The 27,556-nt window shown below is 47.1% G+C and overlaps 2 protein-coding genes across 16 annotated transcripts in view, besides 3 other annotated features; one reads left to right on the forward strand and one right to left on the reverse strand.

Annotated features, from left to right (window-relative positions):
* The window catches only part of SDCCAG8 (SHH signaling and ciliogenesis regulator SDCCAG8), a 244,051-nt gene extending 230,195 nt beyond the window's left edge, over positions 1-13,856 (forward strand). For all 6 annotated transcript variants that reach the window (NM_001350249.2, NM_001350251.2, NM_001350248.2 and 3 more), the window contains 2 exons: positions 2,779-2,905; positions 13,521-13,856. In NM_001350249.2, the coding sequence (NP_001337178.1) occupies positions 2,779-2,905; positions 13,521-13,550 (157 nt within the window). In that variant the 3' untranslated portion in view covers positions 13,551-13,856. The remainder of the gene's footprint in view (positions 1-2,778; positions 2,906-13,520) is intronic.
* AKT3 (AKT serine/threonine kinase 3) overlaps positions 1,998-27,556 on the reverse strand; it is a 362,847-nt gene continuing 337,288 nt past the window's right edge. For 8 of the 10 annotated variants that reach the window (NM_001370074.1, XM_047420641.1, XM_047422391.1 and 5 more), the window contains 2 exons: positions 26,089-26,191; positions 13,489-19,099 (listed from right to left, as the gene is read on the reverse strand). In NM_001370074.1, the coding sequence (NP_001357003.1) occupies positions 19,014-19,099; positions 26,089-26,191 (189 nt within the window). In that variant the 3' untranslated portion in view covers positions 13,489-19,013. Of the gene's footprint in view, positions 2,216-13,488; positions 19,100-26,088; positions 26,192-27,556 lie in introns of those variants that run through there. The other 2 variants (NM_181690.2, NM_001206729.2) reach the window with 2 other exon arrangements.
* Positions 3,604-4,127: an enhancer, noted in NCBI's record as "H3K27ac-H3K4me1 hESC enhancer chr1:243653141-243653664 (GRCh37/hg19 assembly coordinates)". NCBI's record gives its function as "activates a minimal SCP1, AML or CMV promoter by ChIP-STARR-seq in naive and primed H9 embryonic stem cells {active_cell/tissue: H9 hESC(naive and primed)}" and the evidence as "EXISTENCE:reporter gene assay evidence [ECO:0000049][PMID:30033119]".
* Positions 4,128-4,651: an enhancer, noted in NCBI's record as "NANOG-H3K27ac-H3K4me1 hESC enhancer chr1:243653665-243654188 (GRCh37/hg19 assembly coordinates)". NCBI's record gives its function as "activates a minimal SCP1, AML or CMV promoter by ChIP-STARR-seq in naive H9 embryonic stem cells {active_cell/tissue: H9 hESC(naive)}" and the evidence as "EXISTENCE:reporter gene assay evidence [ECO:0000049][PMID:30033119]".
* Positions 9,918-10,569: an enhancer, noted in NCBI's record as "H3K27ac-H3K4me1 hESC enhancer chr1:243659455-243660106 (GRCh37/hg19 assembly coordinates)". NCBI's record gives its function as "activates a minimal SCP1, AML or CMV promoter by ChIP-STARR-seq in primed H9 embryonic stem cells {active_cell/tissue: H9 hESC(primed)}" and the evidence as "EXISTENCE:reporter gene assay evidence [ECO:0000049][PMID:30033119]".

Genomic DNA, 27,556 nt, shown 5'->3' on the forward strand with positions numbered 1-27,556 from the left:
TTTCCCAATATTTGTAATACTGGGAGTGTTCAAGTTGATTTAAAAATTGAGTCAATTGGAATCCATCCTCAGCTCTTAGCTGTGAAGGGAGAGCTGCCCCTTCTTAGGGATCTCACTTCTCACAGCAGGGGTGCTTCTGTGTGTGGACATCCTGGTCAGCTGGTCCCCTGCTGTCTTGTGGGGCTCACACCCAGGCACTTGATTCAGCGGGGTCTGGGTGGTGTCTCCTTCCTCCTTCCCACCCCAGTAATCGCTATAGCCTTCCCAGGCCCCCAGGTTGCAAAGCACTCTGGACTAAACCTCCTCCAGGTTCTGAGGGCTCCATAGGAGGAAGGTCTAGGCCAGAACCGGCCCCATCGCTGAAGGTGGAGCCAGGGTGGCCGGCCGTGACCGGTGTTTATGCTGTGAGAGCGGCTTTGGCCCTGCCCATTGCCCTGGATGGGCTGCCATCCCTTTTCAGGAGTTCAAAACCACATACTGAGCCCATCGGTCCAAAGGACCATCATCTCATTTGATCCAAGCACAGGGCAAGGGACCACATGGACAATGGCTGCTCGTGGCACCTTCTTGCCATGCAGCCATGTCATGGTGTCACTTGTCACGTTTCCTGGCACCTTCTTGCCATGCAGCAATGTCATGATGTCATTTGTCACGTTTCTGTTCCATTCTTTTCGAGCAAGCAGGAAGCCACGGGGCTACCTCAGTTGCTCTTAGCCAGTAGCTCTCTCCACAGGTAGGCCTTCATCGGAGGGGAAAAGCCACCTTAGGGTTCCAGAGCTCAAGGGCGAATGATGCTTTCCACCCACTAATTTAAATACGGAAGCATCAGATTGTCTGCTTCTCAAGGAAAAGAGCTGTTACCATCTCTGTCTCTTCAATGGGACCCACTCCTGGGCCCCACAGCAGGGCAGGTGCTCAGATGAATGGTGGCCGCCTGCCTGTGTCAGAGGGTCGGCCTAGGCAGGTTCCCCAGTCCGCTGGCCCGGGACGTCCTCCTCTCTCCCGGCCGCTCACTGTTCAGGACAGCCCGGGCCCCCCCCTGGGGCCTTGCAGGAGAGCTTCTGTGATCCACTGGGTGGCTTTGAGGGTAGCTCCCAGGAAAGGCTGCCTCAGCCCCAGCGTGATGGGGACGGGTAGGGGCCGATGAGGCTTCCCAGAGCAGCGATGGCCTTAGGTATTGCCAGAAGGAAACCTACTTTTCCTCCAAGATCAGAGGGAAGGATGAGGTGGGGTGTTGGAGCATCACCATATATATACATCACACACACAGGGAAACACTCCTACTTGGATGGAGGATCTTTGCTGTTCTGTTGAGGCCAGCCTGATCCTGGAGGCAGGGCAGGGCCTGGCTGTTGCCCAGGCTCCAAAGAGGCGCCAGGGCGTCCCTTAGTCCTTACACTTTCTCCAGAACCTGCGGGCAGCAGGAGGCCCTTGTCGGGACAGGCAAGGGGGGCGGTGGTGCGGAATTGTGGGCGTGGCAGTCGGAGGTGCCAAGCCCGGGGAGGCGGGGCTTCCTGGGAGCATGCGTAGTGCCGGCTCTGCCTGGGCGGGGTCCTAGGCTGCTGCTCCCGCCTCCCCCGGCACAGGTAGGGCGCCCCGCAGACCCGGACAACGCTGGGTGTGGCTGAAAACAGGGAGTCATGGTGCGTTCTGGGGAAGGGTCAGGGCTGGGGGCTCGGGCCCCTGGACCAAAGACTCTAGCCAAATCCATCGGAGGCTGAGCAGGGCGATGGGGCAGGGCCGGGGGAGCCGTGGGGAAATGGGAGGGTGTGGGCCGAGCAGCGCCGGAGGCAGGTACCGACCATCGCCGGGTTTCCCAGAGGGCAGTGGTACCTGTGCCCACATGTGCGGCCTTTTTTGTAAAGGAACCTATCCCAACCCGAAGGCCCAAACGTGTGGCCGTGTAAGTTTAGTTGTGCCCGGAGTCCCAGGAGAGCCCGGACTGAGGGCAGCCAGAGGCCGGTGTCCGCAGAACGGCCCACGAGGCCTTCGGCTCAGTAGCCTGGAGTTTGAAATGCACCTTGAGCTTTAATGGCCTTTTCCTTGTGAGAATTCGAGTTAACGTGCCTGCTGGTGCTTTTGATGGGTGAGGACGGTGAGGCAGGCCACACATCTCGCTTCTTTCCAGAACACTTCTGGGTAGTCGTTCAATTCCACATTTAATCCAAAGCCAACAGTTCCATGGGTGACTGTGCTGCTGGCTGTAGGAAGCCGACTGTGGACAGATGAGGATAATGGTCTGAGTGAATTAGCAAGTCTGGAGAGGAGCGCCCATCAGCAGAATGACAAATTTAGGATCTTTAAAGACATCTGGTCAGCGATGCCGGAGCTCGTGATTGACTGAGTGATTAATAATGGAAAACCCTTACTTCAGTGTTTCCACGGCCCTCACCCACTTCCCCAGCCGGGGCGGCCGTCTGCTCAGCCTGCCAGAGACCTTTCCAGCTGAACAATGGCGGCATTTAGGCCCCTCATCTTTGACCTCTGCTTGGGAGTTCAAAGCTTCCTTTTCCTTCTACTTACCCCACTTATCTGCGTGTTTTCTAATTGATAGTGTACTGAGATGGCTCCCAGTTCCCACGCACATTTGCTAGAATGTTACCTTCACACAGTGCGTACCAAGGACCTAGTGCCAGCCAGAGCCTGGCACCTCAGGGTCACCCTAGGCGTCCTGCTCATGGTTCCCTATCAGGGGCTTCCCTCAGATACACACAGCCCCTGGGCCTGTTGAAAGGCTGACGTTATCCCTCTTTAATTCTGCGGTGGATTTTTCTCCAGGCTAAGGCAGCTGGATAAGCACAGCCAGGCCACAGCCCAGCAGCTGGTGCAGCTCCTCAGCAAGCAGAACCAGCTTCTCCTGGAGAGGCAGAGCCTGTCGGAAGAGGTGGACCGGCTGCGGACCCAGGTACTGTGCAGAACGCGGCGCAGGTGGGAGTCCTTGGGCGGGCGTCTACAGGTGGATCTTTTATGCACCTCAACAGGCCGGCTTTCTCACGGATCACATCGGTTAGCAGTAAGCTGGGAGGGAGGTCCCGAAGACTGTGCTGGGCACAGTGCAGGACCCAGAGAAGCGGAGCCATGGGCCCGTCCTGGTGAGGGAGTTAAAGTCCGTGCAGGTGAACAGACCCCGGCCCGCGAATCAACGAACCACACCGAGTGCCAAGTTGCGCCGTGCAGGCTGCGGAGGGTGCGAGAGCAGGGAGAAGCGGGAGGACGGCCGTGGGCGGCAGAACAGGCTTTTTGGAGGATGGTGGCCTTGAGCTGCCTCTGAAGGTCGTGTATGGTTTGAATTGGTTGAGGAAAGAGGTGTTCCCAATTAGCAAAGTCGTCTTGAATGGAAGGCAGGCATCTCATCCTAAATTAGCTGACTGATTACTGGGCTAATATCTGGAGTGCTTGCAGAGCACCCGGCAGTGTTACACACAGAACATGCATTAATTCCCTTTACCCTTGAACAAGCAGGCGATGCTGACTTTATTGTCTTCATGGTTTAGATAGGGAAACTAAGGCCCAGACAAGCATTACAGCTGGCAAGTAGGGACACCGCAAACGGAGGCTAAGCCTGACTCCACAGCCCAGGCTTTCCCCATTCAGGTTAGATCCGGGGCCACCAGCAGGGAAAAGGGAGGAAGGAAAGTGTCCCGGTGAATTTGGAACACAGTATGAAACCTCGTTTGCTAAATCGCTTCTCTTCCTGTCAGAGAGGCTGTGCATTTTGCCCCGTCAAGCAGTTTGTTAGGATAATGAGGTGGTCCGTGGGCTGACCAAGGCCTCCGCCTTTAATTAGGATTGCACCCAGGTGCTCTGTGAGTGCCCTGGGGACTTCAGGCAGTAAGTGCTTGGAATGATTAATATGAAAAATGCATCTGGAAATGAAAACGAAGAGGAGTCTCATTCTCCTCACAAAATGACCCTGTGCTCAAGGAACCTGTAAGTACTGACTTTTCCCACTCGGTCCAAAATCCCTCTGCCAAACATGTGTTCACAGACAGTAAATGAGCACACCCAGGCGCCACGGAGCTAAGGCCTGGAGGTGGAAATGCCTCTACTGTCCCCATGCTTCTGAGACTGCTCCCAGGGACTGTGGGGGAGCGGGCCGCTCAAAGTCCGAGCCACAGCCGCACTGCCACAGCTAATCTAGGAGGCGAGGCCTCACCTGGCACGCTCCATGGCAGGGCCCTGGAACCTGAATTTTGCCAAGCTGTTGGGATGATTCTGGACGACACTACATTTTGAAAACCTCTGAAGTGTTTGGAGCTGGAAAGAACAGAGAATTATTCCAGGTTGTGTCACTGTGCTGAATCCCCTGCCCCCGCTTCGGACAAGTAACTTAAGCCTTTTTCCAGCCTCAGTTTCTCCTCTGCACAGTGGGCATGGTGCACGCCTGGCTTCACGGGCTACTGGGAGTGCTGAGTGCAGGCGGGATGCCCCACGGGCCCTTGGGCACACAGGCTGAGGACGTGTGAGGGTGTTTCCTTTCTCCCTCATCTTCAGAGGGTCCTGGGAGAGGTTCAGGGAAGGCAGAGGCCTGCAGAGCAGCAGCTGTGGGACCAGTGCCACTCCCCTCCCCTCTGCTTTCAGGATGACCCCCTCATCCTCCACCAGACCCAGCCCAGAACCCAGCCCTGTGGGCAGGTCCCCAGGGAGGGCCCCAGCAGCACCTGCTTTAGGCCTGGCCAGCCAAAGATCAGGACCACTGGAGCCACTAGGTCTCCTGGCAGGTGACTAGGCTCTTGTCACATAGGAGGGAGGGACCGTGACTCCTGGCATGAGTGAATCTTCAGCCTCTAAAGCCAAGAACTCTGTCAGACCTCAGGTTGTGGGGAGTCTTCCGTGGAAGCTGGAGCACACGGCAGCTTCCTTTGGGCTCTGGACTAGATCAGGAGAACGTGGGCTTTGCCTTTTAACTCCCCATCTGCCTGCTTTACAGCACACTTAGATCTTAACATGGATCACCGATGCTTAGAAGCTTCTTCCAGGGCTTTAAAAATCTGGCTATTGCCAAATGAGTTGCAAAATTTTCACAAAACGCATTAAAAAAACCCCAAACCTCAAAAAATCCTCAGAAAAACTAGCAGGTCTTTCTTTCTTCTTTTGCCTGAAGCAACAGCAATGATTTGCCCATTCCTGTGCTATCTGATACTGGCCCATCTGGCTCATCTCTAAAGCGGCCTTTCAGATTCAAATATTACACTTGGAGTTATTTTAATATGAACATGACAAAAGAAATTTGGTAGAGGGAATGTTGGCTTTCAGTTGCAAATACTAGTGGTCAGAGAGGAGGCAGGGATCCAGGTTTGCAAGCTCTCTGCTGAATATCTAAACCCAGAGCCTGCTTTTTCTGGCTAAGCCTGGCCTTCACCTCTAGGTAGGGGCTGTCAGTGGGCTTCAGCCTCTGCGATGCCTTCTTGTCATGGAATCAGCTTGAGTTGTGAGTTAGGCTTCTGCTGAGCCATGATGTGGGCGAGGCTGCTGTAGGTTCGAGCAGGTATTTTGGATGCGGTGCCGCCTGAGGGCTCCGGAGTGCTCAGCCACCCTCTCTGTTTTCCTGGAGTGGCCTGTGGGTCCAGATCTTGGGCAGCTGAGGGTTAGAGCTGTCCTCATGTCCGGGTTAGAGATGGTTTAACTAAAGGCTTCCGTTTTCTCAGCCTGGATGAGTTAAGCTTAACTTAATTTTGCATGTCAAACTCTAAACATCTCTGTCCACTTAATACCCAGAAGAGAATGGGTCGGGCAATGGTTCCAAAGCAAAGTCCACCCCTTTCCTTCCCTCCCTGTCCTGGGTCCTGAGCCCCGCTGCCCCTGGTGGTGGGGCTCAGGCTGGCCTGTGGCCTCCAACAGGAAGTGTCTAGCCTGTTGGCAGGCTTCATTATTCTAATTGTTTCTGCTTGAATTCTGAAACACTCACAACAACATGGCTGGCAGAGGGAGCCCCTGGTAGTGGTAGCTGCCACATGGATGCTTTTGGCCACGAGAACCCCCATCCTCCCCGCTCCCCGGCGCTGTCTGCGGTGGGCAGGACTCAGGGCACTGGCTCAAGCTCTCGGCTCGTTTCTTGGCTTTTTTTTTTTTTTTTTTTTTTTTGAGACGGAGTCTTGCTCCGTCACCCGGACTGGAGTACAGTGGTGCAATCTCTGCTCACTGCAACCTCCGCCTCCCGGCTTCAAGTGATTCTCCTGCCTCAGGCTCCCAAGTAGCTGGGATTACAGGCACCCACCACCACACCTAGCTAATTTTTTTGTATTTTTAATAGAAACGGGGTTTCGCCATGTTGGCCAGGCTGGTCTTGAACTCCTGACCTCAAATGATCCGCCCACCTTAGCCTCCTAAAGTGCTGGGATTACAGGCGTGAGCCACTGCGCCCAGCTGTTTTTTTTTTTTTTTTTTTTTTTGATGAGTTTTGTTCTTGTCGCCCAGGCTGGAGTACAATGGCATGGTCTTGGCCTACTGCAACCTCTGCCTCCTGGGTTCAAGCAATTCTCCTGCCTCAGCCTCCCAAGTAGCTGGGATTACAGGTGCCTGCCACCACGCCTGGCTAATTTTGTATTTTTAGTAGAGACTGGGTTTCTCCACGTAGGCCAGGCTGGTCTCGAACTCCTGACCTCAGGTGATCTGCCCACCTTGGCCTCCCAAAGTGCTGGCATTACAGGCATGAGCTTTGCCCGGCCTCTTGGCTTGTTCTTAGTTTAGGGTGACTACAAATAATGGCATTATTGATCTCCTGCCTCACCTGGGTTCGGAAACAACTTCAAGAAAATAGCTTTTAAATGTCATGAAATGGCTCTTACTTGTCCTTGTGGAGAAACAGACACTGAAGCACTAGCCCAGCTTTGCCTAGATGCAGTTCCCCACACTCTGTATTCCGGGAGGGTCAGGGCCTCCAGACACACACCCTGGCCTGTCTTTTGTTTGAGACTGGGCTGGGTAGTCGCACTCTCGCCCTCTTGAGAGGCAGGCCCTGGCTGGGGGAGGCTGAAACCTTGGTGGTGGGGGTGGGGGGAGGGGGATTCGGGGTGAGGGTGGTGGGTCTCAGGGGAGTTTGGGCAGGGCCTGACAGCTTGGAGCAGGGTCAGGGGTCTGCGGCCCAGAGCCTGGGGGCTCTAACATCTGGCTAGGAAGGTTGGAGCCAGCTGGTGAGGAAACATGAGTCTTGGGGAGAATGGCATCTGGGACAGGGGAAAACAGAAATTATCTGTCCACTTAGAGGATGGTCTCAACCATCAAGATGATTTTCTGTGTCTGCTTTCTTATTTGGTAATGAATACGGTTTTGGCTGACTTGCATTTTCTGGTAGCCGTCGTATCCTGAGCAGGCTGCTTGGTTCTGTCTGCAGTGTTCAATCTGGGGAGTGATTCCCTTTTAGTCCCCTCATATGAATCACTTACAGTTTAGAAAACAGAGTCGGAAACTGACTTGTCAGTGGTTAATCAGTTGGCCCTATGACTTTTAAGCATTCTTGGCAGTGAATTTACTTTCTAATTTGATTTAAACTTGTGCATGGATCCAGCAGCCATATGTGATTATATTCAAGATCATCGACATTATCTCATTATACCAAAGGACTCATAGAAGAGAGCCGAAAACAAGCAGGGGACACAGAGACACAGAAGATGATGAAGGGAGGAAAGGCCCATTGCAACTGGAAGCAAAGGGAGAAGGGAGGTTCTAGAAAAGTGACAGCTCTCAGGGAGCAAGACTCCCTGCCGAGGGAGGCCTGGCTGCAAGGCGGAGCTGCTGCAGGCTGCCCATGTTAGGCCTTGGAGGTGTCACCTAATTTACTGTGGTCCTTCCAGGAGCCCTGGGGGCCTCGCCCAGCTGACTTAGGAGCTACCACAAAGTTAGCTACCTGTAAGACAGATGGCGCTTGAATAGAACAGCAAATACATTGAATAAAATAAATTAAAAAGCCTCCTCCTGAACCAAGATTTTTTGGAAAGAATTCTAAATAGATGAAAACAAACAATTTGATTTCAACCAAATTGTTGTTTTTTTGTTTTTATCCTGATTTTCACCCGAATTGTCAGTCTCAAAAATAAACACTGATACATTCCCAGAAAATATTTTTCAAATAAAAACTGACTCTGTTAAAGTTTGCCCTGATTCTTTCAAAACTGTGTACAAGACACTGTCAACCAAAGTGACTTGCATATTTTTTTAAATAAACTTGAACATATGCAGCTAAAATGTCATTAACTCCCTGCTGCCTGAGTGTTTTTAAAAAATGACACAAGACCCTGGGTGCTGCATGTCTAACATAAGCATCTCGCGACCTTCGGAGAAACTTCCCCAAACACCTCCAACAGCAGACAGTTAAACTTTTTGTTTTTTGACTGAGCGCCCCGTGTATAATTAATATTGAAAAGCGCATAGGGCTTCATTTTAGCCAGACTTGCTCTTCCGTTAACAGTTCACTTTGTCCAAGAGTGAGTACTTTCAGAATAAGAATCATGGGAGAAAAGTCAATTGAATTTTATATTCCTTCAGATACATTCACTCTACTTATTGCTTCCTGAGTCAGACATTACATTTCACAATATAAATTCACAATCAAGATTTTAAAGGGAGCTAAATATTTTAATCCAATTAGACAAGTGAACAAAACACTGAATATTGCATGTAGTGTAGATAAGTGGTTCTTGCCTTTAAAAGACTGTAATTCCGTCACATTACAACCCCAAATGTCAGTGTTGTCTTTATTTTTAACACTTTCAAACATGAGGCAGCCAGAGGCTCCACTCTCTGCTGTTGGTGACACTGTCTGTCCTTTGGGAATTCTTAAAATCTATTTACCATGGAAACATGGTTCATATAAAACACAGACCTGCCTGTGTGTAGAGGAAGTTCTCATGACTCAGGGGACTTGAGAAAGCTGGAAGATGACAAACTCAGACCCCACGGTTGGGAAGGAACCCTTGGGCTTGGGTGCGCCCTGGGGAGGACAGGTGGCACCGCAGAGCCAGGGCCTCCACCCCGGCCTCATGTGTGCTGGGGCCTCCCTGGCCTGTGCGGGGCCGCCTCCCTCTCCCCGCCAAGTCCAGCTCGAGATGCTGTCTTACGGAACGTCCCACTTCATGTCTGCAAGGCGGCCTTCTCTGTGGATACCTTTCCATTCCTCTGGTTTCTGCGGCCCTGTTCCTTTCTCGGAGCCCAGAAGCAGCAAAGCCAAGCCCTGCGGTGGAAGGGAAGGAGGGCTTTGAACTCTGACTGCGGTGTGGAGGCTGTTATCAGGGGCCCAGCCGGGCAGCCAGGAGGGAAGAATGGCCGCTGCCCTGCGATGGCCTTAACCGTGAGCCCCCGCCTGCTTTGCAGCTGGCAGAGCCAGGTTCCTGGAAAGGCCTGACCCGGAGGGGACGAGGCCCCTCAGTGAGAACTTCAGTCGCTGTGCTGGGGACAGCAGGGCCGCAGGGGCCTGAGGGTGGCTGACTGCCCCTCGGCTCTGTAGAGGAGTGCTCCCTTCTGACAGGTGGGCGGTCCTGCTCGAAGGCCGCGTTTCCCCGACGTTCTGCCCAGCATGCTGAGGGCACCTCTCTCCTCAGTGCGTTGGTGGCGAGCCAGAGCTCACGTGGCTTATTTCATCCAGGTTGCCTTCCCAATTTGGCAGCTTAATTCCGTAGATATCAAACTGGCTGCCCCTCATCTGCCAGAGCAAGCAGGAGAGCCTCGCATGGGAGAGTCTGGACTTTGAGGTCAAACTGCCTGGATTCGAATCTCAGCTCTGCGTTGCTTCAGAGACATGTGTTAGCTTTCATGTCACTTGATTTCTGGCAGAGAAAAAGAAAGAACCAGCTTCCCTTTAAAAGGAAGTGCCTCATATTACCCAGAGCCCAGCACAGATGATTATGAAACCAACAGGATTAGTGCTGAGATCATTGTGGGCTTGAAAGGGCCATTTGAGATAAATAACCATTTTGTACAGATAGAAAAATAAGGCCCAGAGAAATGAAGTGAATGGAATTGGGAAGTGGCTGGGCAGGGAAATGAACTTCTTCTCAGGCCACAGGATGTGTGGATGGGGGCAGGTACCCGAGCGGGTGCGGGCGGAGCCGGGCCTGGCTGGAACAGCTGCCGAGCCCTGGCCCCGGTGCCCAGAACACGAGGCGGAGGCGGGAGGCGAGCCACCAAGCGAGGCAGGGGCTGCCCTGGAGCTCTGTCAACTCAGGGCCAGCTTTGAAATGCCCCAGATGGAGGTAGGGGGAGGGGCCTGCCCTCTCCAGTTACAAATGGATGCTTTATTGCCAGACACACAAGGAACAGGACCACGTTTTGACTTGGCCAAACAGAGACAGCGTGCCAGTGAGCAGAGCGGACAGCAGGGGGGGAAGGGGTTGTTACCTTCAGAAGGGTTGGCTAGAGCCACCCACGGAGACAGTGAAGTGCGAAGCCCGGGCAGGTCTCCTGTGAGCAGGGGCGAGGGGTGCCACCATCTCCCCGGGCTGCCACTTCTGGCTGGTTTGGGAACAAAGCAGCAGCAAAGGCTGGCTGGACCCCACAGTGTGGTTGCCTGGGGAACAGTTCAGGTCACCCAGAGCAACTGATTTCTTACACTCAGAACTTAACAAACTTTAGAAATAAATGAGGCAGGGTTTGTGGAGAGATGACTCCGATAGGATTTAAAATGAGAACAAAGAAAATGGGTTAGCAGCTGTGTGCCTGCAGATGGGGGCACGTTTCCACCACCTGTGGACAGCACGGCAGGGGAGCAGTGGCCAGGGCGCCCTGTCGCCCCCCTCTGAGCTGCAGGACAGCCACAGGAGGGCCACAGCAAGGGCCATGATGACAAATGGAAGGGCAGAAGGACGGGAGACACTGGCTGAGGGCTCATGTCCCACTGGCATACGCACGCTCTACTCTCCTGGACGAGACCATGATCACTGTGGTGTTGATGACAGGACTTCCTGGAAATAAGCATCGTGGATATCCCTAATGGCAGACAAGCCAGATGTGGGCAGTAACTAAGGCTTCTGTCTCGGTCAGAGAAATGTGTGTTACCAAAGAGTCAGCAAATGGAGGCGACAAAACGGTGACCTCCTAGGACAAATTATCCAGCCCTCCAGTGCTGACTGAACGCTCACCATGGGTCAGGCACGGCTGTAGGCACGGGTGGGGGGGGGGGCGTTGAGCAGTGAACGGTAAGTTCAACAGTGTGAAAGTGGGGATGGATATGGGGCTTCTCACCTGAACCGCAGGAAATACAAAGCCCATAGAGATGGCCATGGCTGATCTGCCGCAGGAAGGAATCAGGCTGACTTTTGATTGGTTCCTGGTGAGGCCCGTACATCTGTGTCACCCCCATGCAGGCCCACGGAATCAGGAGGTCACCCGTTTCTGGAACAGCTCCGATAGTGATAAATTGCTAGGTGGCCTGGGAGCCCACAGGCATTATGTAGACTCATCATGAGAAATGCCTGTTTCCTGGAGCTTATCAAAAAATTCCGCAACACATTTTACTTTTACTTCAGGTCTTTACGCCTATTCTGTATTGTGTGTACGTGGGTGTGTTCTCTACCCAAAATTCATCACTGCAGCCTTGAATTCTGGGCTACAGCAATTCTCCTACATCAGCCTTTTGAGTCGCTGGGACTACAGGGGTGCGCCACCACACATGGCTAATTTTTACAATTTTTTTTGTAGAGATGAGGTCTCACTATGTTGCCCAGGCTGGTCTCGAACTCCTGGACTCAAGCGATCCTATTGCCCCAGCCTCCCAAAGCACTGGGATTACAGGTGTGAGCCACTGTTGGGTTGTTTTTCTTTTGAAGTGTTATCTGTTGGGATTTATGCTTATCCCTTTTGTATTCAGTCATCCTAGCATTTCTAAAGTTAGGAAGCCACTGTGTCAAGAGCGAGGCCACCAGGCCACCTGCCTTATGTGGCCAATCCATGGAGCAGGGGTGGAGGGCCATTCAAACCAGTCATTTAGCAGGACTGTGCTGGGTCAGTTCGATCACCTGGCCTGGAGGGCACGTCAGCTTGGTGCAAACCCTGCGTTTGACAATCAGATCGTGTTGGTGGCAGTCTCCGTGCTGTCAGTATCCCACTGAGGACAGAAGGGAGTCCCCTCTGCAATGGCAGGGCTCTAGGGCATAGTGCATGGGGTGGACTCCTCATGGGCCACTCAGACAGGGCCTGGAGAACAAAGCATCCCGTGGGCCCAGGAAATTGTCCACCTGGCTCCACGGGCCTGGGAGGGCTGTGTGCATGGGATGGCAGGTTTACGAGGAGGAGTGAGGCCTCCTGCCGGAGCCCCACCTGCATTCAGCCTGAGGCCAGGCCCCCCACCTACTCTAACTACCCTGCTGAGACCACCCCACTACTCACAGACCTGTTCAAGAAAAAGTTGTCCTCAGGGTCTCTCACACACTGGGAAATCTACTTGAAATGTAAACATTACTTTTTCTCATTTTTCATAAAAGGCAACAGGCTGATGTTCATATATTTCTCTTGAATGCGGATTCAGTTTCACTCATTGCCCTGTCTTGGAAATCCCCATGTTAATGATGGCTTAAATTAGGTTGATAGAGTCCTCCCTTGGAGTCCAGCTTGGAAAATCCTCACTGGAGAGGGGCAGGCCCACTTCTCTTTTTGGAAGATGGTTCCTAACTAAAGAAAGAGGGACCAGATTGGGCCCCTGGCCCTGCAGTGCGTCCCAATTTATCTGACGTAGAAACCGGGATTTGGAAAATACCATCCTGGCTTTTCTCTGGACTTCACAATCTAGAGGGCGAGGACTGTGGCCCAGTCACCTTCCCACACAGTGCACAGTAGAAACTCCAGACATGCTTTGTGGAGTGGAAACATTTCCAGTGGCTTCTGACTCTAGTTCCTGATGTGGTTTAAACTAATTTGGGCAGCCATGGCAGCAGAGGCCAGGAACAGTATTCAATACTTTCTGAACTTGTGATTCTCCCCCAACCTGATCTGCATGAAGCTACTTTGGAACATTTGTATCTGCGTAAAACTAAGAGACCTCAGTACACCCAATCCCCTCTTCCAACACATGTGAGGTTTCCATGTGAAAGTACTTTTTCATAGGTTACAATAAATTGCTTGCAGTTACAAATTTGGAGGTGTTTCAGCTTGTATTGTTTCACGAGGAATTTCTTAGGGGCACTTGGCCTACACCCTGTTTTTGTTCTAGAATTACCTGCCGTTAAGGTCAGATAAATTTTCAGTAAACAGATTATGGCACAAATCAATGTGTCCTTTCCCGGACAGAAGAGATGGCTCTCTGGCCATGTCCTAACACCAGACTGTCCTTATTTAAGAGGCAGGCGTGTCTTTTGTCTAGGTTGTCTTCAAATTTAACCCATTAAACCAGTTAACCTTATTTCATATGTGAAGGGCTTTGATGTGGACAAGATGAGGCACAAACTTTTCATATAATTTCCACATTTTTAGCAACAGGTTTTTTTCTCCAACAACAGTTTTCATCATAAAAGGTGACTAAACCAGCAAATGAGAAGACAAATAACATTGAAGAACATGAGCTATTGAAACTTACTTTTTATTATTTTTTCCAGTTACCCAGCATGCCACAATCTGATTGCTGACCTGGATGGAACAGAGTGAAATAAATGATTTACAAAGAGATATTTACATTCATCTGGTTTAGACTTAATATGCCACAACGCACCACGACCTTCCCAGGGTGACACCGCCTCAGCCTGCAGTGGGGCTGGTCCTCATCAACGCGGGCGCTGTCCCCGCACGCAGTCGGGCTGGAGCTGGAGTCTGACTCTAGCTGAGCAGAGCTCCTGGTGTATGTTTTCAGAAATGGCTTGAAGTTATGTGTTTAAATCTGCTCATTCGTATGCTAGGTTATACATATGATTTTCAATAAATGAACTTTTTAAAGACTTGAGTTGTAATGTTTCCTTTTTATCTTGTAGTGATGAACAAAACACACCAAAAAGGCACATATTTTAACTAGGCCAAAGTATATTAAGGACCAAACTTTTTTTCCTGCCATTCATTTTTCTTTTCATGATCTATATATCAATCATCCTTCACCTTTAATCAATGTCCCATCAGACTCCATTTTATTTATTTATCGTCCTACTTTGTGCACAATCAATCAATCAGGAGACACCAGGAAGCACTATGCATTACTCTTTCCATTCTGTTAAACAACGAAAACAGACAAAAAAGCATCTTTGGCTCGGTGGTGTCAGATTTTTTTCTTCAATACGCAGTATTTGAGAGGAGCCTAAAAACGTACTTAGTGAAATTAGAAAATTTACTTAGAGTATATCAAATATCTGTACACAGATAATTATTTGTCTAAAATAGTATTTCTACTATACACAATTAAGCCCTCAAATGCTTTAAAGTAATAAAAACGGACACTGGACATACCGTGTTGTATCTGAGAATGACAAACACTAAAGGCAAGGCTGCAGTTAGTTAGGACAGGTCCCTGACCTTCGGCTGCCCTGCCTGGCCAGCGAGCCATCATCCTCATCACCATCTCAACACAGAGCTGATGTCACCATATGCTCAGCCTTGCCTCTCAGAAGTGATGTGGATTAGGCTTTGGAGGCGGTGGCATGATCTACACACAGAGACCATTTGAATCTCTTGAGCATGTAAAAGGTTCAAGCCTGAAACAGTAGAACTTCTATTCAGATTCAGAAGTTTTTTATTTCATCAAATGTGCTAGACATAAAGGCTGTCACATAAGATATTTTAATTGTCCTTAATTCTGTTTTAGATATACTGTGAATAAATTATACAATATTCTAAAAATAGCACCTTTAAAGAATTATAGAGGTCACTTTTTTTTAGCCTCCTGGATCTGTCAACCCCAGTGGTTTTGAGAGAAGAGCACATGTGAGAATGCCCTCAAATTTGGCCGTGTGACATACACATACATGCTTGACTCACTCTGGTCCCAAAAGCCATTCCTCTGTCTGGCTTCGTCACAGGAGCAAAGCCAAGTTTCTACAATAGTAGCTTTATGAGGTAAAATCAGAAAAAGGCCCCATCCAGAATGATTCAACGTGAAGTCAGACTGCAGTCCAGCCATCCTACCCATCTACATCACCCACGTCTAAGTTTGTTAATTTGCCATGACATGTTGTTAGAAATACACTCTAAGAAAGGAAATATGCAGAGCAGTACATTATCAGGAAGACGTTAATGAAAAGCTACATTCCTTCAGATTCTGGGTCCAAACCGTGTGTTGTATAGATGATTCGGGTCTGAATGTCCCCAGGGTCTGAGACCTCCTTCATCCCTGGCTTCACAGTACATCCATCCTAAATCCAGTGCTGAGAGGTCAGCGTTTCCCCTCAGAAGCAGCCGTTCATCAAAGTTTGCACAACCGCACTACTGCCATTTCACTGAAGTAAAAATGATCCCCTATGTGTGTGTGTGTGAGCTACAAGGAATTATTTCTATATTTTCCTGTCACATTTTATACAAGGTAGGTTAATACCAGCTGGGGCTATTAAAAATCATGTTTTCATTAAAGAAGATTTAATTTGGGGGGATTATAGAACCACATCCAACAACAATAAACAGAGAAGTAGCAGATTGACATAGTGCTTTATTTAAGCTGTCTGTACGAAGGAAAATCATGTTCATCCCTATCATATACGTGTAAAAATACTAAGGATGTACAGTGTACAAAAACAGTTTCTCCTAGTTATTCCACATCCTTGTGGGTCATATACTTCAGGAAATAGACAGGTTTAGTATGACCAACAGTAATAGTAATACAGTTTCTTGGGTTTATAGTTGCATCTGCTTAAAATCCTTAACCAGATGACTAGATCTTGCGCAGATCTAATGAAAGAACTAGCAAGGTCAAGAAATGTCACAAACTATAAAGCTACAGGGAGGTAATTCAATTACCAATTTAGAGGTTTTCTTTTTATTTAAATAAATACTTTACATTTCATGCTTGCCTGTAATGCACTACCAGGAGCAAGATAAGGAAATTCTACTGTAGACAGTACAAACAGTAGCAGCAAAGTGTGTATGTTGAGGTGTAATAGAGAGACCCTGCAGTTAGTAAGGAAGGCCCTTACTTTTGTACTCTAGGAGAAGCAAGTGGCCCCTGCAAGAACAGTCAGCTTTAAGAAGCTGGAAATCAGGGATGGGAAATGGAAAACAATACTTGAATAATGCTATGTAATTAGTGTAGAAAGCAAAGCTGAGCGCGACCCTGCCAACCATCTAAGCAGAAATGGCCAATTTCCTCCAAGATGGCTGCATTATGACAAGAAGTCAAGCTTCATGACAGTTAGTATGGGCTGGAGTCTGCAAAGTCTGAACTGTATTCTCATAGAATGATTCCAGGTTTCAGGGTGTTCCACCTGCCAGAACCCAAAACTACAACTATGGGCGACACAAGGGAAGTTTTAGAAATCTCCCTCTACACGCATTTCTGGTTTTCTATTATTCCTCCATGGCAGCTGACAGATCTGGAAGTGAAAATAGGGGATTCTCAAAATCAAAGCCAAGAAGACACCTTGTGTGACACCAATGGAGTCTCAGAGGGTGGAATAGAAGTGACTGAGCCCCAGGCATGGCTGGGAACTGAGAGCCAGTGTGAGGAGTGGCCCGCCTGGGGCAATGTCAGTGCCAGTCATTAATCTTTAAGAAGTGTCCTTGGCCAAGGTCATGGGAATCACTTTAAGATTTGCGGGAGAAAAAACCAAAACAACAAAAAGCTGTGTGCTTAGTGTTCGGTGTCATGCTTTCCCTCTAGAGGAGTAAGTGCTCTGAACATCAGCCAGTCTCAGCTTTCTGCTCTTCCTCTCACCTGTTTCTTTCTTATATAATGGATGCAAGACAACTTAAAGAACATACCTTCTAGTCTACTTTTTTGTCAAAATGAAACATTCAACATAATTCCAAGTGAAAAAAAAAAGATTAGCTATGTGTGTAAGTAAGAATGAACTACCATTTACTGTAACTTCCTACTCAATACTAAGGATGAACTTCACTCAGGTAGAAATATGAAAAAGAAGGATAACGTTGATGTCTGAATATGTCTTAGCTGCCTTAGTAAAATGCCCTTTAACCCCCGTCAGTCCCAGTGGCCCACCCACTGCCAGCAGTGGTTTCATAGCTATAAATCCACACTTCCAGCGTCAAGAGGCTAAGACATCTGCATATGAATATGATTCATCCTACTTAGAAAGTCACTTGCTCTTTCATACAATGCAATCATAATACTACGTCATGCTGTAGTCTTCCGTTTGGGAGCTGTCAGAGTTTAACTAAAATACATTTCCATGATCACTCCGCGGAGTAGGATGGCCTTCTGCTTGCCGCAAGAGTGGCCCCCAGCCCCTAGGACTTCACAGGCTGCTTTGGAAATTGTCAGCTCCTAGCACCAAAGGGTTTAATCTGAAGATCATCATTAATGAAGGAGAAAGATGAGGTTTGCATACATGCCCCCTTTCAGTGAGAAATGTTGGAATCTGGGGGACATGAGTATATACAGAAAAAGAAAAGCTGGAGGTGTTCTCTTTTTTTGTTGTTTTTTCCCTGATGGCTTAATTCAGTGATAAATGTACCATGATCCCAAGAAACACACCAGGTTCTTAGCCTTCACTGCCCATTTCCTAAATACTCAAGATGTGTTCATTTTGCCACGTAAAGATCATTTCTTATCTTCACTCAGGTCTCAATTTTCTTCATTACTTTTTGTTGCCAGGTCATCATAACGTTTCAAATTCTTAAATGAGCAAACGTCAACAGCTATTTGTTTCATTAACCCCTTGGCATGCATAGTTGGGGATTTTCTCATTTTCAGTACCAAGGGGTTAAATGGCAGCATCTCTTCTCCCAAAGCCAAATTCTAACCAATATATTCCATTTCAGAGCCTTATCATTTTTTTTAACAGAGGAGAAAAAGTGCATGATTCTCATCAGCGTGTACAATCCTTGCACATGGGTCAAAAGTAACTGCAGTAAGTCTATTTTATATAAGTTGGAGCTGCGTTTGCTAACATGACATACAATTCTCATCACTAAAAAATAAATACTACTGCAATATAAACAAAATCATAAAAGGACATTCAAAGTTTCAACATCTGAGAAAAAGCTAATTCACGTAGAACTGAAAGTAAAAAATTAAATAAGGCAAACACCTGTTTACCTTGGTGTAGAAATTTTGGTGAAAAGCAGTATCATTATACCTGTCTACATTCTTCAGCCATCAGAGGTGATAAATGTCAAGAAGGAAAAAAGGTTTCCAAGCACAGGGGAAAGATGCTCTCTGGCTCAAATTGTTTCATAAGACCCTTTAAGTGACCTTGACTGTGCATATGCCTTCAGTTCTTGGTAGAACAGTGTTCACTTGCTCATGATTGCCCGTGAAGTCTCGACATCCACATGTGATATGGGCTTCTTCTACAGTATCCACCAGGAATTTAAAAAAAAAAAATTATATATATATATATATATCCCAACAGTTGTTCAGTCCTTCTACCAAATGCTTCCTAATCAATTCCAGCCACAGCTTAGTGATATATGCCTACTTCACGCACGGATCTGATGTGCTTTACATATGCACGCCACCACCCTTCCACAATTGCTTGTTCTGAATTTATAAACTAAATCTTCTTAGTCTAGTTAGTTTTTCTCTTCTAGAAAGTTAAAAAATGTACCTAGAATCAGTGTATCTCATTTAGCCTTCACTGAGGGAAAAACTAAAAGATCAAAAGATGATAATTGGTGCACAAATGAACAATGGTGGGCTCATGACTTCCAAAGGTTGGAAAATTACTTCTTAAAGTTGCTATAATAGTAAGACAGTAGCAGCAACAGCATGAGACCTTAGACTGAGATACAATTTCATGCAAAAACAAAAACTGGAGTGTATTTGCGTGTATGTGTGTTTTCATGAGGGTGAAAGGTGGCGAGGGGTGAGGACCCTTGGCTGGTCTGGGATGTCGGAAGGTGCCCCTGCTATGTGTAAGAGCTAGGACTGGTGATGTCCAGGAATCATTTTCAGTAATAAATTGAAGATGACAGTGAAGTAGCAGAATGAAAGAGACTTATTCTCGTCCACTTGCAGAGTAGGAAAATTGAGGGAAATGCGGCCGCCTCTCATTGTCCATGCAGTCCATACCATCCTCATCATCTGTGGGCAGGAAACATCTATTTTAATTTTACACATTCATTTTTTGCAACATTATCTCTAGTCTATGTTTTTTAAACTCTGAACATAGGAAAGATGAACAGAGGCAATAGCTCCCATAAACTTGTGTTCATCAATAAGCTGTAGAGTAATTATACTTCAAAAATCATCTGATTTTCATAAATACATAGTCTATGAAGAAATAATACTATAGAATCATCTCTAAGACATCAAAATTTCAAGACTCAATGAAACAGTGAAAAAAATGGTATTGAAGAAAACAGAAGTTTTTAAGAAGGAGCAGTCTTCAGTAACCTTTCATTTCATGTAACCACATATATCAAAACTGCAAGTCAGTGAAATCCACAGCATCCAAAGTCTGTATAGAATTCATCATCGAATGTCTTCAAGTGCTTATATTTTTTCTTTGTGATGCTTTAAGTGCAACTGCAAAATAAAGCTTCTTATGAAATTTCATTCAACATCTAGCATCTGGCTTAACTCACCTTTCCCAATTTCCCTATGATAAAACTTTAGCATGAAGGGACTAAGTGAAAGAAAAAGAGGGAAGGATGTCAACATCTGAGTCCTAGCTCATCAGGAAACAATGGAAGAGACTTGAAAGGCATCAAAACAGGCCGCTGACAATCACAGTGTTCCTCCTGTCAGCTTTCCTGGTTTCCTGTATTTCAAAGATCACAGATGATCAGCACCCTGTTCTCATAAATGTCCTGTGATGACAGTCCTGTGCTGTTGGAAGCTCTTCCTGGTATGTGGCCACGTGGTCAGCCACTCAGTCAACATGCGCTCCCACGCATCTGCTCTGGGCTGAGCACCCGTCAGGCCCAAGGACCGCAGAACTTTGAACAAAGTCCCAAGGGCCCCCTGGCCTCACAGTCTCCTGGGGGAGGTGCTCCATTTTAAATCCCCCGTGCTTGCCTCTAAGCTTGTTTAATCATATGCTGTCCTGCAATGGAAATCAGTGAATCTTTCCAATACTCAACCCTTTTCTCTTCAAGCAAAATAATTCGATGTCCTCAAACCCATATAGGAAGTACATTACCAATTTTTTTGAATATTCTAACCTCTCCAGGGAGCATCCGCTGGATGTGGGTGTAAACAAAGAAAGCATACAGGCCAGATCCCACTGCACTGAGGCTCTGACTCTGTCACTCCGAAGAGGAGGGGGCTCTGCCTTTGTCTGAAGAATAAACACTTCCATTCTTGTATCACTGTTTTTCTTTTCTGTATCCCACTCTTAATGCAGAAGATTCTAGAAATGGGATCAAGCTGGCATTAGCCAAAATTTCTGACCCCTAATGTACCAGAAGATATCCTCGTATTAGGTGAGAACTGATCCATCAAGAAGCATTTGTGGCTCCCTGCTCTGTGTAAGACACTGAACTCGGAGGCCCTCTCTTCTTCTGCAAATAGACCACTGTAACTGCAGTCAGCATTTCTAGAAGGTATTGAGATTTGGGGAAATCTCTACCTCCTTATAAAGTTATTGGTTCCAATATTTGTACCAAGCAAGTCACACACATCTTTTAGATCAAATACCTTCAGCAGTATTTTTAGCTACAGTAAAAACGGAAGGAGCTGGGAATGATGGTGTACCCGTGGTTGAGCCCCAGAGTATAAAAACTCTCTAGAGAATACGGGCAGCTAAAACCTTAATGTTCAGATTCTGACATGAGCCAATCACATTTCAAATAAACAATTTTCCTCACCAACAGCTTTATTTTACTCAGTGTTTCTGCACAGCAAACCTGCAGCTGGCTCTGGACAGCAGTGGGGAGCCTGGTGCTTGTCCTGCTCAGCCAGGAAGGGCAGGAGCTGCCTGGACTCCTGGGGCCATGGCCAGGACTCATTCCAGCCCGGCGAGGTTCAGCACCCAGGTTAGCCAGATGCTCAACAGGGGCAGGTGCTAGACACCCTTTTGGAAGAGGAGGGACTCTTGCTGGTGTCAGCTAAGAATTGAGAGACAGCCTTCATTCTGTCACTTCAGTAACACATTCATCACAATTCTGAATCTAGGAAATTTCACAGATATCCCTGAGGGCCCCAATCCTTGATATTCTTTAAAGCCAATGATCTCCCTCCATCATTCCTGCCCCTTTCTGTTGTCAGGCTTGGAAACAATGAGGCGTGAACATCTGATCATGGCCCTAAAAGAGCTGAGAGCCTGGGCAGGGGCTGCGGTGGGAGGGGAGCTGGAGGAAGTGGCAGCTGACTCTGAGTCGGAGCCTGTCAATGTACACAAGTTAGTTCCTGCTGTGAGAGGCTGTGCATAGGGAATAGTGATGATAATGAACATGAACTATGTTTTTCAAAAACACTTATCTGGAAAAAGAAGACAATGATCAACTCTACTTGCTACATCCCTTGAATCCCTGCATCCAAGGAACATCAGTTGCCTGATTTTCTTAGAACATTTAACAAATGGCATTATATGGCAGTAAAAGCGACCAGATCTCAAAGAAACCCTCTTTTTCTGTAAGAGGAAGGAGGAGGACCATCAATGGCGATAACGAAAGATGACACATTCCCAAATCTGTTCCATTATTAACGCCAGTGAGGACAATCTGGCATGTCACTGCAGCTGTTTGTAGAAAATGGAACATTTTGCCTTTCTAACTGCTGATTTGTTCTAAACAATAACTGTATTCTGTTTTATACAAGCAAGGTGGCAAGTGGGAAGACAATTGCTAACGAATGGTACTACCCTGGACTTTTATCAACAAAACCTCTGTGTGTTAGCACTTAGGGAGCTGCAACGGTTTCTTACCAGTTAAACTATTCAAAGCTGCAAGAAAAAGGTTATGTTGAATGTAATCACCGTTCAAGGTTTCAGTGATTCTCATTTTATCTGCTCCTTAAGGGAATCTAGGATGTATCCAGGAACTGTCAAACTAAAAATACTGCCCCGTTGCCCTAGAAGAACCCAGAAGCTGCAGTTAACCACCATCAAGGCTGCTCCCCTAAGACAGGAAGCCCAGGGCCCCATGGCCCCCAGTGCTGAGCGCTGCGCTCTGCTGAGCCACACAGACAGCAGGAGAGGCTGCTGAACAGAGGTGCCTGCAGATGCGTCGATGCTAGTCTTTGCCTGGGCATACTCTGCTGAGCTCTTCCGTCTGACTTTCCTTGCTACAGAGGTCCTGAATAGGGAAAAACACAGCAAGTCCATAGCGCCCTCCCCACCCCTCAATTGCGGTGTGCCCTGTCAGAAACAGATGACATTGCTGGGCTCTCGTTTCCGTACTGTCCAGGGCCCAGGAGCAGGGCAGGACCACACCCCATTTCTGACACCCACAAAAGCCAGACTTTTTTTTTTTTTTTTTTTTTTTTTTAAAAGACAGAGTCTTGCTCTGTCACCCAGACTGGAGGGCAATGTTGTGATCTCAGCTCAGTGCAGCTTCTGCCTCCCGGGTTCAAGCGATCCTCCTGCCTCAGCCTCCCGAGTGGCTGGAATCACAGGAATGCACCACCACGTCTGGCTAATTTTTGTATTTTTTTTTGTAGAGAGGGGGTTTCACCATGTTGGCCAGGCTAGTCTCAGACTCCTCCTGACCTCAAGTGATCCACCCGCCTTGGCCTCCCAAAGTGCTGGGATTACAGGTGTGCACCACTGCGCCTAGACAAAAGCCAGACTTTTGTGGTCCTACAATTGCAGGTGGATTTTGATAACCATCTTGAAAGTTACTACAATGTACAGGCTTCCTAGGTATCTCTGTCTCAATCTAGAAGTGAACCTATTATCATTTAAAGACACCAAGGTTGTAGGGCTTTTACAGCATGATCCATGTCTGAAATGACACATGTTATTTAAGAACAGAGGTGCTGTCAGTGGTAAAATATGACATGCCAGGAAAAACATTCTTGATGGCTTTTATATTGCTGATTAATGAAGCCAAGGAACTAGGTTCAAATTATGTTCTAGAAACTGTGCTGGGGGACTTCTAACACCTTCTAACATTTCAGTCTCATTTTAGAAGTCCTAGAGATTGAGCAATAAAATGCACACTAATGACAAATTCTCATCAGGACAAGTGCCCCGCGGGTGTCGAGTAAGGAATAAAGCAGGTAAGATGAATTTCGAAGAGATTCTGGTCCTTGAAAGCTAGGGCTTTGAAATTCAAGTCAATCATGAAAAAATGACTGACTAGCCTAAGAGTCATATACAACAGTTTCTAATTGACCTTATTTGTACCCAAATCCATTTTGATTTGCTCTGGTCTTTCTAGTCTCACATTTCTGAGCATCGCATTAGTCAGCCCTGTCCGCCGGCCCTCCACTACACCACCCCTGCAGCCAGGTGCTTGCTGCGTTGGGCCTATCATCCCCCTAAATGGACTGGCCCACAGCATACAGTAACACTATGGACTAGCCAATCTGGTGCTTGAGCAGAATTGAAAATAGGGTGATTCAAATTGGCAGAACTCTCGGTGCCTCTCCTAAAGAGACGGCTTCTCAGGCACACGGGAGGACAAAAACGCCACTGAGAGACTATCAGCCCTGCTCCCTGCTTTTCCAGGGGACAAAGTGACCGGCCATCGCCCAGAACTGTAAGGGGCACAGGCAGGACACAAGGCAGGTTCCCCAGGTCTGAGTCCTGGGCTTTTTCAGCCTCACTCCATGTCCCAAATTGGGATTTCACTTTTAGCTTTCTTAAGTAAAATATCTACTCCTGGCTTGACATTTTAGAGCCTTCTTATTTCTATGACTTCCAAAATAACATATTTACTTGCTCTAAAGGTACGCAAATGCCAAATGCTCTATTTAAGAATGGAAACTTTCTCAGAGGCTGAGACTGAGGAAAGAGACCTGTCAAGACCTTCCTATCCCAATATCTGCTTTGGATATTCAGAGGGGAGGCAAGCCTGGGTGTCCTCCCGGCTCTGAAGTTCCTAGGCCCTCACCATATTCTGTGTATTCATGCACCTAACAAGTATTATTGAATACGCACACTGTGCCAGGCATCTAACTAGGAGCTTGGGCTAATAACGAATGAGACAAACTAGATCCTTCCTCTCCAACCCACTGCATGTTAGTGGCGGAAATAGACACTAACCAAACAAACAGAAAAATACCAGCAAGTCAAGGTGCCAATGCAGAGAATGAAGAGAGAGAGGGAATGTTGTCAGACTGATGCTCTTCAGACTAGGAGGTCAAAGAAGGTTCTCTGATGGAATGACATGTAAGCTTAGAGCTGAAGGACAAGAAGGAGCCATCCAAGTAAGATCAGGGAAGAAGAGCATTCCAGGCCTGGACACCATAAATACTGTCCCCAGAGCCCGAGGCATGGTGACGTGTGGCATGTTCGAGGTGTGGCTGGAACCCAGGGACAGTGGGGGAAGATGGAACAGGAAGAGGTCAGAGAGGTGGACAGGGCCCAGATCAGTCAGTGCTGTGCAAACCAGTGTGAGCAAGTTTGGATTTAGAGTGCAATGGGATGGCACCGGAAGGTTTTAAGCAGAGGAATGATGTGGTCTGATTACAGTTAGGATTATATCCAAATGAAAGGGCCTAGCAAAGGCTGTATGGCAGGAACTGCCCATGGGCCGATCCGAAAACTCACTGGTGTTACCCAGCATTTTGGACAATTCTAATGCCACAGTCTATGCTGGGGACAGAGGCCAAGGCCTATGCCCATGATTTCTACTCAGCGCTGAGCTACTTGCCCATGACTCCACAGGCTTTCCAACATTGTCTGTGACTCTTAGTGATTCTAAAATTCTAGCAATGGCACAAGATTGAGTGGAAACTCTGCCTCACCACAGGACTGACCATGAGTAGCTCACTTCAATGGATTGGTATTTCACAACTTAGCCTGGACATCGGTCAAGTTGGTAAGCCCTGCTTCTGGCTATGGCTGACCCAACTTCAGGACCTGGAGCACCTTAACTTTTTGTGAATCTAAAGAAAGAAAAGCACACACACGTCATCATATCTTCACTTTCAGGGTGTTCACAATCCCCTTGTGGCCAGACCATGGTCCCAAGATTAAGACCTCTTGGCCCACATGACCCCTTGTTTGCCTCTCGACAGTAGAATCTGCTGCCTGTGACCATCTCTGGCACAGCATTAGCCTCCAATCGCCCCTCTCCCGGACACTGAGTCCACATCAGCACTATGGATAAATCTGCCTCCAAAAAAGGAATGAGAGGAGAAGACATATAGGGAAGGAATCAAAAAGAAAAGGAAAGAAAAACTATGATGTGAACCCAAAGATGTGTAACTTGAAGCATTCTTGCAGCCATCCAAATATTGCCCTGAAACGCAATCTTATCCACATTCTTAAGTTAATGATGATACACACAGACCTCTGTCAGCATGAAAATGTTTATCAATTATGTCTGATCACCTTTTCCCTCATTACAGCTCCACTTATTTATGGTATTTCTCCAAGTGTGAGACATACTAATGTATATGAATTGACTTGAAGTGGTACATGAACACACAGTTTTCATAAATATGTAATTTATAGGTATCCAAAAGTATTAGCAAACTAAATTATGTCTTCACAGATAATACTATTTAAGAGAGAGCTAAGTAAAAAGGAGTGACTCTACATGAATTTTAAAACTATTAAGTAAGTAGGAGACCAAAACTGGCAAAATTCTGAAGGTTATGTGGGAATGAACGAAGTCTAGGAAAGAGGGGAGTCTCTATTTCACAATCCTTTCAGTTGGTGTCAAAACAATCTATTGGTGAACAGTAAGGAAGAGCTAGTCTGTAATTTCATCTACAATTTCTCTCTATATAATTTGTCCTACCCAGAAAAGCATTTCTTGCAGTCTTTTGATATTACCACTGGGAACTCAATATTCTTAAATTCAATTCAATATTCAATATTCTTAAATAGAATGGAGTAAGTCACTGTGGAATTTGATCTTGAAAATATCAGATGAGTTTTTAAAAGACTGTTTTCTTCAATTACATTAGGAGAAATTATATTAGAAATTTATCAATTGCCTTCTAAATTTACTTACATTTTTCAGGTGGTGTTATTGTAATAGTCTGAGCTGTAAATTCTTCATCAAAATATCTAGTATCTGTCTCAGATGTTACTTGAGGTTTAAAAGGAGGTACAAGCTGTAAAAAGAAAGAAAAAGAGTTTTATTAACTGATTTCAATTCAGGAAAATTCCTTTCTAGGAAAAAAGCAGAGAGCACGTAGTTAAATGAACAGAACAAAAGTCTACAATGCTGAGTCGCTGGGTAAGGGAGACATGATATTTGGCTTCCCAGTCAACAGTCTAAACCAACCGGTGGGTAATTGGTGGTTCTGTATAAAATCTAATGGATCACGAAAAACAACAAAAGAAAACCATTGAATAGGACGGGAGAGGGATATTGAAAAATCTGTGCTGGTTTTTTTCCCCAATAACAAACATACATGCAAAACCATATTGATGGGGAGCAGTGTGCCAGGATGTGGGCTCTTCCTCGGGCAACCTCTTTCTAGTGCTAGCTGAAGAGGGTAGTAATAAAAATACAACTTAATAATACAGCTATCACCAGGTTACAGATGAGAGTGCTGCCTTTGCCCTTCGTAAAGAACTACAACTTTGTACTTTGCTAAGAATTTGCTGATAAGAGATGGGCATTGATGCCTGCCCTGCTCTGGAAAAGGGTTTCCTGGTAGCCCCTGACGTTACATGCAAAATCTTGCCCACAGCTTTCATCAGATCCTCAAAGGGGACCACAGCCCAGAAGAGATTAAGAGTAGCTCCCCTGAGATTGACAGGGCAGGAATCATCTCATTCGCACTGCACCTGCGGCAGGCATGGCGTTAGGGAAGGTGGGGGTGGAAGGAAAGTCTCGGGCTACTGGAGGTTTCAGGAGCCGGAGCCCTGTGAACCTCCACTGGTTGGGAGGGAGAAGGAGCTAACACGAGGCTCCTGCTTCTCAGGGCTCTAGCCTTGAGGGACAGGTGGAACCCACAGGTTCCTTCTAGCACAGGATGCCCAGTCCCAGAGCATTAGGGTCAGAGTGCGTGCTCTGCAGAGTATCATTCAGAACAGGGGATGCTGCTTTAGAATACAGTTCTCACGGGGATAGGAACATGGCAAACAGAATGACAGAAATCAGCATGTTTTATAAAAATTTTACAAAAACAAATACACAATTGGCTTGAGATCAGTGCATTTTCCCACTCTTTCTGTCACCAAATGTATGTTAAATAATAAGGAAAATCTTTAAATTATTCTCTAGACAGAACTATATTTTTAAGAATCGTGGGATGAGCAGAATTAAAAGCAGGTTTTCAAAATAAGGGACATTTCAGTTTATGGTACATGCTACAAAGCATTCTTAATCTCTTCTTTTTATAATTCTTTCTGTTTACCCCCAGCACACAGCTATTCTAAGGTCTTCATGATTAGCAAGCACTCCTTTGGGGATGAACCAACTCTACGTTCCACTGATCAGCTGGTAATGGCGACTAATCCCTAAACTG

Source organism: Homo sapiens, chromosome 1, assembly GCF_000001405.40.
Source record: "Homo sapiens chromosome 1, GRCh38.p14 Primary Assembly".
Classification (NCBI taxonomy): Eukaryota; Metazoa; Chordata; class Mammalia; order Primates; family Hominidae; genus Homo; species Homo sapiens.